The sequence below is a fragment of the Homo sapiens genome, chromosome 6 (assembly GCF_000001405.40).
Source record: "Homo sapiens chromosome 6, GRCh38.p14 Primary Assembly".
NCBI lineage: Eukaryota > Metazoa > Chordata > Mammalia > Primates > Hominidae > Homo > Homo sapiens.
Window position 1 is genome coordinate 144,201,329 of NC_000006.12, and position 14,582 is coordinate 144,215,910.

General features: G+C 41.7%; 2 annotated features.

The window, feature by feature from the left end:
* Nucleotides 1,384-1,678: a silencer, noted in NCBI's record as "tiled region #5218; HepG2 Repressive non-DNase unmatched - State 22:ReprW". NCBI's record gives its function as "weakly represses a minimal TATA promoter and a strong SV40 promoter by Sharpr-MPRA in HepG2 cells {active_cell/tissue: HepG2}" and the evidence as "EXISTENCE:reporter gene assay evidence [ECO:0000049][PMID:27701403]".
* Nucleotides 1,384-1,678: an enhancer, noted in NCBI's record as "tiled region #5218; K562 Activating DNase matched - State 9:DNaseU". NCBI's record gives its function as "activates a minimal TATA promoter and a strong SV40 promoter by Sharpr-MPRA in K562 cells {active_cell/tissue: K562}" and the evidence as "EXISTENCE:reporter gene assay evidence [ECO:0000049][PMID:27701403]".

The window sequence follows — 14,582 nt, forward strand, 5'->3', positions numbered from 1 at the left end:
TCACAGTAAAGTGATGTTGAGACATTGCTCCATAAAACAACATTTATCTTTTATAAAATTTGAAAATAAAACATGAGAGGATAATGGGGGCAGGAAGGAGAAGAGTCCTAGTGAAAGCAAACGAGGAGTCTGGCAAAATTCTCATTTAGCTTTCTCTAGAGTTGGGTCCTGGATAGCTGGGAGATAGGAAGCACAGAGGAATACAAAGTCCCTATCCCCTCTGCCCTCGTCCCATGTCCCCAGCAACCTTGCATCTCTTTATGGTATTCATCAGAGGGGACCCAGAGCTGTCTGAAAGAGCCTCACCACAAACTGGATTCGTTGACTTCACACTTGCTCAGCCACCACCTCTTTTCTTTGGAATCCATAAGAACAGCACACACAGGGATCCAAAAGTGCACTGAAAGTATTTGGTAGTCCTCAGTGTAAGCACAGATGGCTTCCCATTCTCACCCTTAGATGCAAAAATGTGTCCTAGTAGTAATGGTAGTTAGTGATAATATTCTGAATATCTATGAGATGGCCATATTTCTTCATAATCTGTTTAAAGAATGGATTTAAAAGTCACCTGAAAGTGGAAGCATTTAACTAATGTTTAAATAAAATTGTATTAGAATGATGCTAGCAAGCGAGAGATTTCTGGTAAAGTGAAAATGAAGGTTCTATCAAGGACAAGAACACAATTTAGGAAAAGGAAGCATTAAGGTTCACACAATTTATATATATATATATATATTTGCACACACAAAATCTATATATCTATAAATATATTTCATATATAACCCCCCAACACAAGACAGCAAGTTCACCCTCTGGAGATAGCCTTACTTATAAAATAGAGATAAATATTAAGAAATCAAGGCAATAACAGGCACTCAGTCAAGGAAGCAACTTCTAGGGAATACTTTAGATCCCTTCACTGGTCTACACATATTTGTATGAAGATTCAGCTAGGAATGCCTTTGACAGAAACTGTACTGTGATCACAGTGACCCTAAAACTTGAGCATGCTTCAGTATCGCTGGACTCTGAGATGCAGATTCAGGACATTGGGGTGGGGCCAGAGAATGTGCATTTCCAACAAGTTCCCAGATAATCTTTATGCTGTTGGTCAGAGGACCACACTTTGAGAGCCACAGGCTTATATTTAAAAGCATGTAAATTTTCTCGTACAATAAGAAGACTGGAGGTAGATGGTTTCTGGTTGGCTGTGGCTCCATAAGGTCTTTAAAGGCAAAATCTCTTTCTAATTTACCGTTCTGACATCTTTGGGTATTAGCACATTATCCATAGAAATGTGACCTCCCTGCCCCCAATCCTGGCCCCGTGGTCACAGCATAGCCAACACAGTTCCAAGGCTTCTATCTTCACATTGTCAGATCCCAGAGAAGTTCCTCTTCAAAAGTTTAGTTTGTTTAGTTTCCTTATTCTCTACTTTCAACGTCCAACTTCCTTATCCTTTTTGCCTCCCTGCTCCTGGTTCCAGTAAACAACTCTCCCACTGGTCCTTATCTACAGAGCCCACATCTGCTATTCACTCTGTAATTTACCACTCTCACTGTAACAGCTCTTCCCGCCAAAGCTGTCTTTCAAGTCAGCCAATTGGGTTCAGTTTAGATTGTGTGGCCCAACTCCAGCCAACAGGGACAGGACATAGTAGTAGGGACAAGCTGCGTTAGGAATAAAAATCCTTTCCCTCCTTTGTTCAGTGTGCTCTCATGGCAACTGAGAGAAGCACCCTTCTGCAGAAGTAAATTTGCCTTGCTGAGAAATCTTTTGTTTGAGTGCTCATTTTCTTTGCAACTCCGAGCTTTGCTTCTAACATGATCCCATTCAAGGCAGGAAGAAAAAGGGAAGAAAATGGGAAGGAATAGCAAGCACAAGGCTTTTACTTCCCAAGACTCTGTTTTTTAAATCCAAAAAGAAAATCCTTTCCAGAACTTCCAACCAGCTTTTTCTTATCTCTCATTGGCCAGAACTGGATCACACACCACTCTGCCACTGTCTCCCAACCAATTACTGTATTGACCAAAGGGTTGAGATGACAATTACTGGTTTACACTAATAATGATTCATTCCCTGGAGCTGGAGAATAAGTCTACCTTCCCTGAAATTAAGGTGTCTCTTCCCACTGCCTGAATAAAATAAGATTTCCTTTATCAGGGAGAAAGGTGAGGAATGGCTGTTGGATAAGCAAGAAACAATGGCTACCAAAAGAGCCCACCTCATGCTGTAGCAGTGAAACAGCAAAAAAGCTGACATAAGTAACTCCACTTTTGTTTAAGAGGGCTTTGCCCATTCTTACACATAGGCTAGGATAATTTTAGAGCACTGAGCCAATATGCAAAAACAGCCAGTAAAGGCTGGGGTTAAAGGGGAAATAACTATGGTTTGTTTAATATTTATTATTATTTTTTTGCTTTTAAGTTCAGGGTTATATGTATAGGTTTGTTATATAGGTAAACCCGTGTTATGGGGGTTTGTTGTACAGATTATTTTGTCACCCAGGTATTAAACCTACTACCCATTAGTTATTTTTTCCTTATCCTCTCCCTCCTCCCTTCTCCCTCAAGTAGACCCCAGCACCTATTGTTGCCTTCTTTGTGTTCATGATTTCTCATAATTTAGCTCCCACTTATAAATGAGAACATGCAGTATTTGGTTTTCTGTTCCTGCTTTAGTTTACTAAGGATAATGGCCTCCAGCCACATTCCCACAAAACACATAATCTCATTCTTTTTTATGGCTGCTTAGTATTCCATGGTGTGTATTTCACGGTACAACCACATTTTCTTTATCCAGTCTACCACTGATGGGTGTTTAGGTTGATTCCATGTCTTTGCTATAGTGAATAATGCTGCAGTGAACGTTGGCGTGCATATGTCTTTATGGTCGAATTATTTATAATCCTTTGGGTATATATGCCCAGTAATGGAATTGCTGGATTGAATAGTAGTTCTGCTTTTAGCTCTTTGAGGGATCAGCATACAGCTTACCACAATGGTTGAACTAATTTACATTCTCACCAACAGTGTATAAGCATTCCTTTTTCTCTGCAACCTCACCAACATCTGTTATTTTTTGACTTTTTACCAGTAGCCATTCTGACTGGTGTGAGATGGTATCTCATTGCAGTTTTGATTTGCATTTCTCTAATGATCAGTGATGTTGAGCTTCTTGTCATATGTTTGTAGTCACAGGTATGTCTTATTTTGAAAAGTGTCTGTTCATGTTCTTTTGCCCACTTTTTAATGGGGTTGTTTCTTCTTGTAAATTTGTTTAAATTTCTTATAGATGCTGGATATTAGACCTTTGTCAGATGCATAGTTTGCAAAATTTTTCTCCCATTCTGTAGATTATCTATTTACTCTGTTGATGGTTTCTTTTGCTGTGCAGAAGCTCTTTAATTAGATCCCATTTGTCAATTTTTGCTTTTGTTGCAATTGCTTTTGGCATCTCCATCATGAAATCTTTGCCTGTTTCTATGTCCAGAATGGTATTGCTTAGGTTATCTTCCAGAGTTTTTATAGATTTGGGTTTTACCTTTAAGTCTTTAATCCATCTTGAGTCGATTTTTGTATGTGGTGTAAGGGAGGGGTCCAATTTCAGTCTTCTATATATGGCTAGCCAGTTATCCCAGCACCATTTATTGAATACAGAATCCTTTCCCCATTGCTTGTTTTTGTCAGCTTTGTCAAAGATCTGGTAGTTGTAGGTGTACAGCCTTATTTCTGGGCTCTCTATTCTGTTCCATTGGTCTATGTTTGTTTTTGTACAAGTATCACACTGTTTTGGTTACTGTAGCCCTATAGATAGTTTGAAGTTGGGTAGTGTGACACCTTCAGCTTTGTTCTTTATGCTTACGGTTGCCTTGGCTATTTGGGCTCTTTTTTGGTTCCATATGAATTTTAAAATAGTTTTTTTCTTGTTCTATGGAATATATCATTGGTAATTTGATAGGAATAGTATTGAACCTGTAAATTGCTTGGGGCTGTATGGCCATTTTTAATGATATTGATTCTTCTTACCAATGAGCATGGAATATTTTTCCATTTGTTCACGTCATCCCTGATTTCTTTGAGCAGTGTTCCATAGTTCTCATTGTACAGATCTTTCAGTTCCTGGTTAGCTATATTCCTAGGCATTTTATTCTTTTTGTGGCAATCGTGAATGGGATTGCATTCCTGATTTGGCTCTCGGCTTGATTGTTCGTGTATAGGAATGCTAGTGATTTTTGTACTTTGATTTTGTATTCTGAGACTTCACTGAAGTTGATAATCAGTTTAAAGAGCTTTTGGCCTGAGACTGGGGTTTTCTAGATATAGAATCATGTTATCTGCAAACAGGTATAGTTTGACTTCCTCCCTTCTTATTTGGATGTCCTCTATTTCTTTCTCTTTCCTGATTGCTCTGGCCATAACCTCCAACACTATGTTTAATAGGAGTGGTGAGAGAGGAGGACATCCTTGTCTTGTGCTAGTTTTCAAGGAGAATGCTTCCAGCTTTTGCCCATTCAGTATGATGTTGGCTGTGGGTTTGTCACAGGTGACTCTTAATATTTTGTGGTATGTTCTTTCAATACCTAGTTTGTTGAGAGTTTTTAACATAAAGGGGTGTTGAATTTTATTGAAAGCCTTTTCTGCAAGTATGGTATAATTATGTGGTTTTGTCTTAGTTTTATTTATGCAATGAATCACATTTATTGATTTGTGTATGTTGAATCAGTTTTGCATCCCAGAGATAAAGCCTACTTGTTGGTAGTGGAGAAGTTTTTTGATGTGCTGCTGGATTTGAGTTGCCAGTATTTTGTTGAGGATTTTTACATTGATGGTAATCAAGGATATTGGCTTGAAGTTTTCTTTTTCTGTTGTGTCTCTGCCAGCTTTTGGTATTAGGATGGTGCTGGCCTCATAGAGTGAGTTGGGGAGGAGTCCTTCCTCCTCAATTTTTCAGAATTGTTTGCATAGGAATGGTACCAGCTCTTCTTGGTACATCTGGTAGAATTTGGCTATGAATCTATCTGGTCCTTGGCTTTTTTGGATTGGTAGGCTATTTATTACTGATTCAATTTCAGTGCTCATTATTGGTCTGTTGAGGGATTCAATTTCTTCCTGGTTCAATCTTGGGAGGGTGTATATGTCCAGGAGTTTATCCATTTCTTCTAGATTTTCCAGTTTGAGTCCAGAGAGGTGTTCATAATATTCTGTGATGGTTATATGTATTTCTGTGGGGTCAATGGTAATCTCCCCTTTGTCATTTCTACTTGTGTTTATTTGGATCATCTCTCTTTTCTCTTTATTATTCTACCTAGCAGGCTGACCATTTTATTTTTTATTTTTTTCAAAAAAAATAAAAACAACTCCTGGATTCGTTGATCCTTTTAATGGTTTTTTGTGTGACTCCTTCAGTTCAGTTCTGATTTTAGTTATTTCTTGTCTTCTACAAGTTTTGGGATTGGTTTGCTCTTGGTTCTCTAGTTCTTTTCATTGTAATGTTAGGTTGATAAATTGAGATCTTTCTGATGTGAGTGTTTGGTGCTGCAAATTTTCCTCTTAACACTGAATCAGCTGTGTTCCTGAGATTCTGGTGTGTTGTGTCTGTGTTCTTATGAGTTTCAAAAAGCTTCTTGATTTCTGCCTTAATTTCATTATTTACCAAGAAGTCATTCAGGAGCAAGTTATTCAATTTCCATATAAATGTATGGTTTTAAGCATGCTTTTTAGTCTTGAATTCCATTTTTATAGCACTGTGGTGCTGTGGTTGTTATGATTTCAGTTATTCTGCATTTGCTGAGTAGTGTTTTATGTTCAGTCATGTGGTTGATTTTAGAGTATTGCCATGTGGCAATGAGAAGAATGTATATTCTGTTGTTTTGGGGTGGAAAGTTCTGTAGATGTCTGTCAGGTCCATTTGATCCAGTGCTGAGTTTAGGTCCTGAATATCTTCGTTAATTTTCTGTCTCAATATCTGTCTAATATTGTCAGTGGGGTGTTAAAGTCTCCCATTAGTATTGTGTGGGAGCCTAAGTCTCTTTGAAAGTCTCTAAGAACTTGCTTTATGAATCTGGGTGCTCCTGTGTTGGGTGCATATTTAGGATAGTTAGGTCTTTTTGTTAAATTAAACCCTTTGCCATTATGTAATGTCCTTCTTTTTTCTTTTGTTTTTTTGTTGGTTTAAAGTCTGTTTTGTCTGAAATTCAGATTGAAATGTCTACTTCTCTCTGTTTTCCATTTTCTTGGTAGATTTTTCTCCATCCCTTTATTTTGAGCCTATGTATGTCATTGCATGTGAGATGAGTGTCTTGAAGATAGCATACCATTGGGTCTTGCTTCATTATCCAGCTTGCCACTCTGTGCAATCAGCATTTAGCCCATTTACATTCAAGGTTAGTGTTGAAATATGTGGATTTGATTCTGTCATCATTATGTTAGCTGGTTATTATGCAGACTTGTGTGGTTGCTTTATAGTGTCACTGGTCTGTGTACCTCAGTGTGTTTTTGTGGTGGCTGGTAACGGTCTTTCCTTTCCATGTTTAGTGCTTCCTTCAGGAGCCCTTGTAAGGCAGGTCTAGTGGTAACAAATTCTTTGGCACTTGCTTATTTGAAAAGGATCTTATTTCTCCTCTTCTTATGAAGCTTAGTTTGGCCACATAGGAAATTATTGGTTGGAATTTCTTTAAGAATCTTGAATGTTGGCCCCCAACCTCTTCTGGCTTACAGGGTTTCTGCTAAGAAGTTCACTGTTAGTCTGATGGGCTTCCCTTTGTAGGTGTCCTGACCTCTCTCTAGCTGCCTTTAACATATTTTCTTTCATTTCATCCTTAGAGACTCTGATGATTATGTGTCTTGAAGGTGATCTTCTTGTGAAGTATCTTACTGGGGTTCTCTTCATTTCCTGAATTTGAATATTGACCTCTCTATATAAGTTGGGGAATTTCTCATGAATGACATCCTGAAATATGTTTTCCAGCTTGCTTCCATTCTCCTCCTCTCTTTCCGGGACACCAATAAGTCATAGATTTGATCTCTTTACATAATCCCATATTTCTCAGAGGTTTTGTTCATTCCTTTTCCTTCTTTTTTATCTTTTCTTGTCTGACTGTCTTATTTCAGAAAGCTATTCATTGAGCTCTGAGATTCTTTCCACAGCTTGGTCTATTCTGCTTTGAATACTTGTGATTGCATTATGAAATTATTGTAGTGTGTTTTTTAGCTCTATCAGGTTGGCTACATTGTTTTCTATACTGGCTATTTTGTCTGTCAGTTCCTGCATTGTTTCATCATGATTCTTAGTATACTTGGATTGGTTTCCAATGTACTCTTTCATCTCAATGATCTTCGTTCCTATCTGTATTCTGAAATTGATTTCTGTCATTTCAGCCATCTCAGCCTGGTTCAGAGCCCTTCCTGGCAATGTAGTGACGTTGTTTAGAGGAATGAAAGCAGTCTGGCTTTTTGAGTTGTCACTGGTTCTTTCTCATCTTGCTAGGCTAATGTTCCTTCAATTTTTGAAGCTGCTGTTCTTTGGATGGGCTTTTTTCCTTTTATCTTAGTTGATGCTCTTAATGATTTTATTGTGGAGGAAGGTGGGTTCAGCCAACTGGCTTCATTTCTGGAAGATTTTAGGGGGCCAAAGCTCAGCTTCCAACTCCTGGACTGTATGCTCTAACTCTAGGGGACTTGTATCAGCCTCAACTTTGTTCTCTGTCTCCTCGAGGTTAGGAATCCACTGTGCTGGGGGGCTGATATGCTCCCAGGTGGCTGGTCACTACACTCCAGTTGGTGGTGTCACCCAAAATGTTTTCAGTGTGGTGACAGCAGGATGGTCCTCGTTCTCACATGCCAGCAGCAGTGGCAGCATGGTGAGGTGCATGCTTCTTGGCTGCAGCAGGGTGCTAGCGGATGCCAGGGTGCCTGCCTCCCTGTGCACATTCACAGCTGCAGTGGAGGCAGCATGGCTTGAGGAGGAGGAGGGCCCCACTGGCAACTGTACATGCAGTTGTGCTGGTGGTGGTATTAGCATGGGGTTGGGGTGCTGATTAGCACAGGTCTGAGTGTGCCATCTGTGTACGTTCATGCAAGTGGGGATGGCTGGGGAGGGTCTGCTGTTCTCTGTGCCTACTTTCACTCTAGTGGCAGTGTTGATGCAGGGGCAGGGCATTGGCAGGGATAGGGCTAGTGGGCTCTATGCCCACCAAGGCTCTGACTGCAATGGCAGTATGGCGGGGGAGGGAGGCTGGTAGAGTCAAATGCACTCCTGCCAGCAGCAGTGGTGAAGCAGGGTGCATGTGTACACACAAGGTGGTGGGGCAAGGAAAGCAAAATCTGCTCGTGCACATAGATGCTGACAAAGCAATGTGGGGGGTGGCCATGGGCCCAGAGGAAGCTACAGTGCAGGGAAGGAGTGGGTAGACTGATGTGTGGCCATGGAGACCACCCCACTGCAGCTCTCCACTAGTCAGGCATGGTCCACCAGTGCAAAAGCTATAGAGTGGGCCCCCAGGGCACCCGAGGCTGCCCTGCAAGCAGACATTGCCAGGTTGGGGTTCCAGAAGGGACCAGAAGACCAAGGATTATTCAGGTCAGACCAGTCCAGTCTAATGGGCAAGACCACCCTGCAGAGTTCAAGTCTGACAGTTCCCCTAGGACTAAAGTCTCCTGTGGGAGCTAGTGGGGCCTACAGAGATGGCTATCCCTGGCTGTGCTCCACCACAGATGCTCCCTCACCAAACACTCTGGGCTGCGCATCAGCTGGCTGCCCCTACCAGTTCTCTAAGCAGCTCTCCTTGCCAATTCAGGCGTCCATGGTGGTTGAGGGGTCTCTAACCTGCTGGGATTCCAGAGGCTGTGACAAAAGCAGGTTGCTCCTTACCAGTTCAGCTCACCCATTACCCCAGAGTTGCTGGGGGCCAGAAACGAGCCCTGATGCTTGGTAGCCTCATGCAGGGTTCCCAGCTTCCTCCCCCTTCAGCCCAGCTTCTGTGTCTTCCCTGCATCCATTCTTGGTGCCTTCCCTCTGAAGGTCTATTAGGAGCGTGCCAGTTATCCTGGTTCCTCCATTCCTCTGTGGCAGCTGTTCCACCTGGTTGTGTCTAGTTGGTCCTTGTTAAAGATTTGTAGAAGCATTATGACCAAGGACAAATAATTTCCTAACCTCCTCAGACCCTCGCTGCCACCTAGGTGTCTTCAGTCATTGGTTAACCCTTAGTCTCAACTCTCTCCTCCTCCCTTTGCCCTTAACATAAAAAGAGCCTGAAATTTATAATGACTTAAGATGGTATTTTGGAACGCCAGTTCACCATCTTCTCGGTTTTGCCGGCTTTCTGAATAAACCTGCTTTTCTTCCCATCAACCCTCATTTCTTGTGTCTGGCTTAAGTGGCAAACCTGGGTTCTGTTTCAATGCCAGACAACCAGCAGAGATATTTTACATGCATATTTCACTTAATTCTCACAACATTTCTCTCAGGTAGGAATGATTATTCCCACTTTACAGATGAGACTTGAGGAAATTGGTAAGTTGTCTATACAGCTACTAAAGAATTATGATTTGAACTAGCTCTACTGACTTGACAGTTTAAACAATACATTTACATTACTATGCACTGCTGCCTTTTATTTTATCTATAGTTCAGAAAAATTATTGTTATCATAATGAAAACCCTCTGTTATGGACGAAAAGGCAAATTTATATCCTGCTTACCATGTAGGATATGTGTATACTCTATTTCATAAAAGTTTGAGACAAAAATTTAAATTCTACAAGTAAATAAAGAGAAAATTCTGCCACCAAAAAGAATATATTTCTAATGATAACACAAACTGTAATTTCTATTACAGTAGGGCCCCCTTATTCTTGAGGATACATTCCAAGACCCCCAGCAAATGCCTAAAACTGCAGATAGTACTGAATCTGATATACACTATGATACTTTGATCTGACCACCAGGAGGGTTACTAAGTGACTGAGAGGCGAGAAGAATAGACAGAGTGGACATACTGGAAAAGAGATGATTCACGTTCCATGCGTGAGATTTCATCACGCTACTCAGAACGATACTCAATGGGAAACTTACGAATTGTTTGCTTTTGAAATTTTCCACTTAATATTTTCAAAGCGCAGTTGACTGTGGGTAACTGAAACTGAGGAAAGTAAAACTGCAGCTAATGGGGGCTACTATATAATGAGTAAGGCCAGGCAGAGCAAGAAGGATATTTCTAGAGTGTAATTTGGAGCTTCCTGAGTTTTGTAAACTCACACTTGTAAGTGCAGCTTATTCTTACTCCTTTAACTTTACAACTGTGTGTGTGGTGGGAAGATAGGATTTATGGGGGGCTTGGAAGAGAATTAGGCGGGGAAGAGCAGGCATGGGAAAAAGCAGGAGACAGAAAATGGTTTAGCATCTTCAAAAGACAAGGGACCCCAATTTAGTATGATTTTGATTATACCGGTTGTGAATGAGAGGTTTCACATTCTACTTTATTTCTACATTGTTTGGATGTCATACAACGTTTACAACTTGAATCTGTTTCTGTAAAGATGTTTTCATTCTGAAAAGATTAAGAGAGAGAAAGATAAGTGTAGAAGCTACATTTCAGAGGATTCTGGAAAAAAACAGAAAGCAAATGAGTAGGCTTGGAAAGTAAGGGCAATCTATTTAAGAATTTGAAAACAAATGCAAGAAGGAAAGTTGGATGTTAGCAAGGAGGTTAGCAGGATTACTCTTTCTTTTAAAATAGATGTGTAGAAACCCACGGATGCAAAGATGGGAACAATAAACACTGGGGTATTACAATGGGGTGTGAGAGAGTGGGGAAAAGGGTTGCAAGACTATTAGGTACGAAGTTCCCTACTTGAGCAACAGGTTTATTAGAGGCCCTAACCAGAGTATCATGTAATATATCCATGTAACAAACCTACACATGTACCCTCTGAATCTAAAATTTTTCAAAAAAAGAAAGAAAAATTTAAAATATATATGAACAGGCCATGCATGGTGGCTCACGCCTGTAATCCCAGCACTTTGGGAGGCTGAGGCAGTTGGATCACTTGAGGTCAGCCCGGCCAACATGGTGAAACCCAGTCTCCACTAAAAATACAAAAATTAGCTGGGCATGGTGGTGCACACCTGTAGTCTCAGCTATTCAGGAGGTTGAGGCAGGAGAATCGCTTGAACCTCAGAGGCAGAGGTTGCAGTGAGCTGAGATCATGCCACTGCAGTCCAGCCTGGGCCACACAGAAAGACTCTGTCTCTAAATAAATAAATAAAATATATATAAACAACTCTGAAAATAATAAAATAAAATAAAATAGATGTAAAGAAACAAAATACATGCTGTGAGCACATCATCAGTGCTAGAGAAACTAACTTTGCCTAGTATTAGTGCTATAGTATTAGTATTAGAATTAGTGTATTATAGTATTAATAGAATATTAATATTAACGTATTAGTGCTCATAGCTGTGTAAAAAATAGCACAACATTTAGCAGCCTAAAGCAACAAATATTCATTATCTCACTTGGTTTCTGAGGGTCATGAAATCAGGGCTTAGCTGGGTAGTTCTGGCTCAGGGTCTCTCCTGAGGTTGCAGTCAAGTTGCTGCCTCTTGTTACAGTCATCAGAAGGCTTGACTGAGGTGGAAGATTCATTTCCAAGCTCACTCATGTGAGACCTCAGGTCCTTGTGGTGGTTACTAGAGGCTTCCGTTCAGAGCCTCCATGTGGGACATCACAGCTGGCATCCTCCAGAGTGAATGATCCAAGACAGGACAACCACAGTGGTAGCAGCAGTGCCTGTTGATGATTTGATCTCCAAGTTTGCAGACCACTTTCATTTTATTCTGTCCATTAGAAAGGAGTCACTAGATTCAGCCCGCACTCAAGGGGAGGAAAGGTAGTCTTCCCCTGTTGAAGACAGAAGTATGAAAGCATTTATGGACATATTTTTAAAACTATCGCAGAATGTATGAAGAATATCATGGCTTAACTAAGCACATATACACACTGAAAACTAGTTTAAATAGCGTGGAACATTTCCCTGTAAGAAGTACGTTAAATGCAGTTTCTTGAACGTGAAGCCATTTCAACGTTACAAAATCTGTCCTAATATTGACATTTACTCTCTAATATTGTCAGTTATAACAAATGCCATGGCACAGTGCTTTTCACATTTTGTTCCAACACTCAAGTGGGTATTTGTCATGCCTTGTAGTTGCCAGCAAGTTTGGCAACTTTTCCTATGTTTGGGGAATTTCTTCCATTTTCAAGACTGCTTCCTGAGGCAGAAGCCAGAACTTTCTTTCCTATCCACCCTTGCAGCAAGCATCCAGGGATGGAACTTCTGTTCTTCCACACAGACACTTCCATGTACGATGTAGATTTGGAAGATGGCAGCATGGCCCTGAATCCAGTTTCTAGGAAGGATGGAGTAAATGTCTCCAATGATGGAATCAGACCTTGGACTCTCTCCATCTTGGGGTTCTGCTTCCCCCCGTGCCGGCTTTATTCTCAGATTGCCTGTCTCTTCCAGTGCTCCTAGTGCCTCATCACCGCACTCCCAGTTTATCATTCTCAGAATTTTCATTATCAATTGCTTCACTTAAACAAACGAACAAACAAACAGTGGAACAAATAATAGCTATTTTATTATTTCCACAGATTTTGTGAATCAGGAATTGGAAAAGGATACTATGGGGACAAACTGTCTACGCTGCATACATAATAATATGGGGCAATTAACTAGAAGGAATCAGTGGCTGTGGGGGAGGAGTCACTTGATGGCTAGGGGCTGGAATCATCTGAAGGCTCACGCAGTCATATTTATAGCAGTTAATACTGCCTGTTGTTTGAGGGCAGTCACCTGAAACAACTACATGTGGCTACTTGGGCTTCCTCACAGCATGGTGGCTCAGTTCCAAGATCAAGTATCTCAAAAAAACAAAGTGAAGTACAGGTACAGCAACTTTTATGACCTAGCCTCAGAAGTCACATAGTATCACTCCTCCATAGACACAAGCCCCTTTCCAGATTCAATGAATGAGAACACAAACCTCCCCCTCCCCCCACATTCCATCTATTAATGGGAGGGGTGTCAAAATCACATTGGAAGAAAAACATTAGTAATGGGAGATACTGGTATAGTTTTGCTGTGTGGCAGGTTGTATTTTTCCAAAGATGACCAACGATAAACTAACTTGTACCAGGCCCATCCTTAAACAGCAGCCAGAAAATTTTAATACAATTTTGAGGCTTCAGAAGGTGCATTTCTAAGGGATACCCTACGATGCAGCTGTGTTACTCCAAACTGTCTTATACTAGGGGCTTGTTGGAAGCTGAGTCTGGGGTTAACAAAAATATCATTCAAATAGTACTGTGGTGTGAATGTGTCCCTCACACACCTACTTTACAGGGTTGTTGAGAAATTTTTATTCATTTATTTTAGAAATGGAATCTCACTATGTTGCCCAGGCTGGAGTGCAGTGGTGGCTATTTACAGGCACAATTATGACAGACACAGCCTTGAACTCCCAAGCTCAAGCAATCCCCTGGCCTCAGCCTCCCGAGTAGCTGGGACTACAGGAACGCAACACGACGCTCAGCTGAAAATTAAATGAGAAGATATATGTAAAGAGCTTAGAGCAATGCTTGTCACATAGTGACATGTTCTCAATCCGTGTTATTATTATCATTTCAGTGCCTTGAAAGCCATTTTTATCAAGACTGTGGCCTCTGACAATTTGGCGCCATACAATGGAGATGGCGGGTGGCAGGTGGCAGGTGGCACTCTGGTGACCCCATGTCATCACCACGTGGCTGCCTCTTGACCCTGGCAGAGTCTAAGTTCCCTTTCTTCTCTCAGCACCGCAGGGCAAGGCCCGAGGAACTGCTCTTGCCTGAGCTCCTGTCGTGTACTTCGGAGGGCCGGGCCTGGCGCTTAGAAGGAGGGGTGCTGTTGAGGTCAGGACACAGGAGCAGGCCTCTGACAGCTTACAATGCTGTGTGGCAAAGTGTAAAGGGGGTGATTCTCCCGGTTACTATCCTGAGGCCCTCTCGCAGGGGCAGTTCTCTAAGAGTTGGCGGAAACTCCAAGAACCAGGGCAGCAGGCTCGTGACAGCCCGTGTTCCCAGGGATCACAGGAGTTCCAGGAAGAGGCAAGACAGTTCTTACAATGTGACCCAGTAGGAGAGCCATTGGTGAGGTCTTGCACAGTGAGGTTAGTGTGTGCAGTCTCCAGGCTGATAGAAGTTCTTGATGAAGAAGTCTCTGCCTGCACCATATGAACAAGGGCGTGGCCGGACAGTCGTGTGGCTGCCAGATCCCAGCTCAGCCACAGGCCCCTACCACTCCACAACACAGAGCCTGGGCTCTGGGTTCTGTGGTAGATATGAGGTCCTGGGTAGTGGGGAATGGAGTGGAAGTCCTGGGAAAAGGGATAACAGGACAAACTGAATCTCATGTGCACAGAAAGGAAGGACAGCATTGCAAAACAAGGAAGGGGAACAGAAATATCTCATTGCATCGTAGGGTAGCGGGGGCAAAGAGGAGGCCACTGCGCTGCATCCAAGACTGTGCAGTGGCGATGG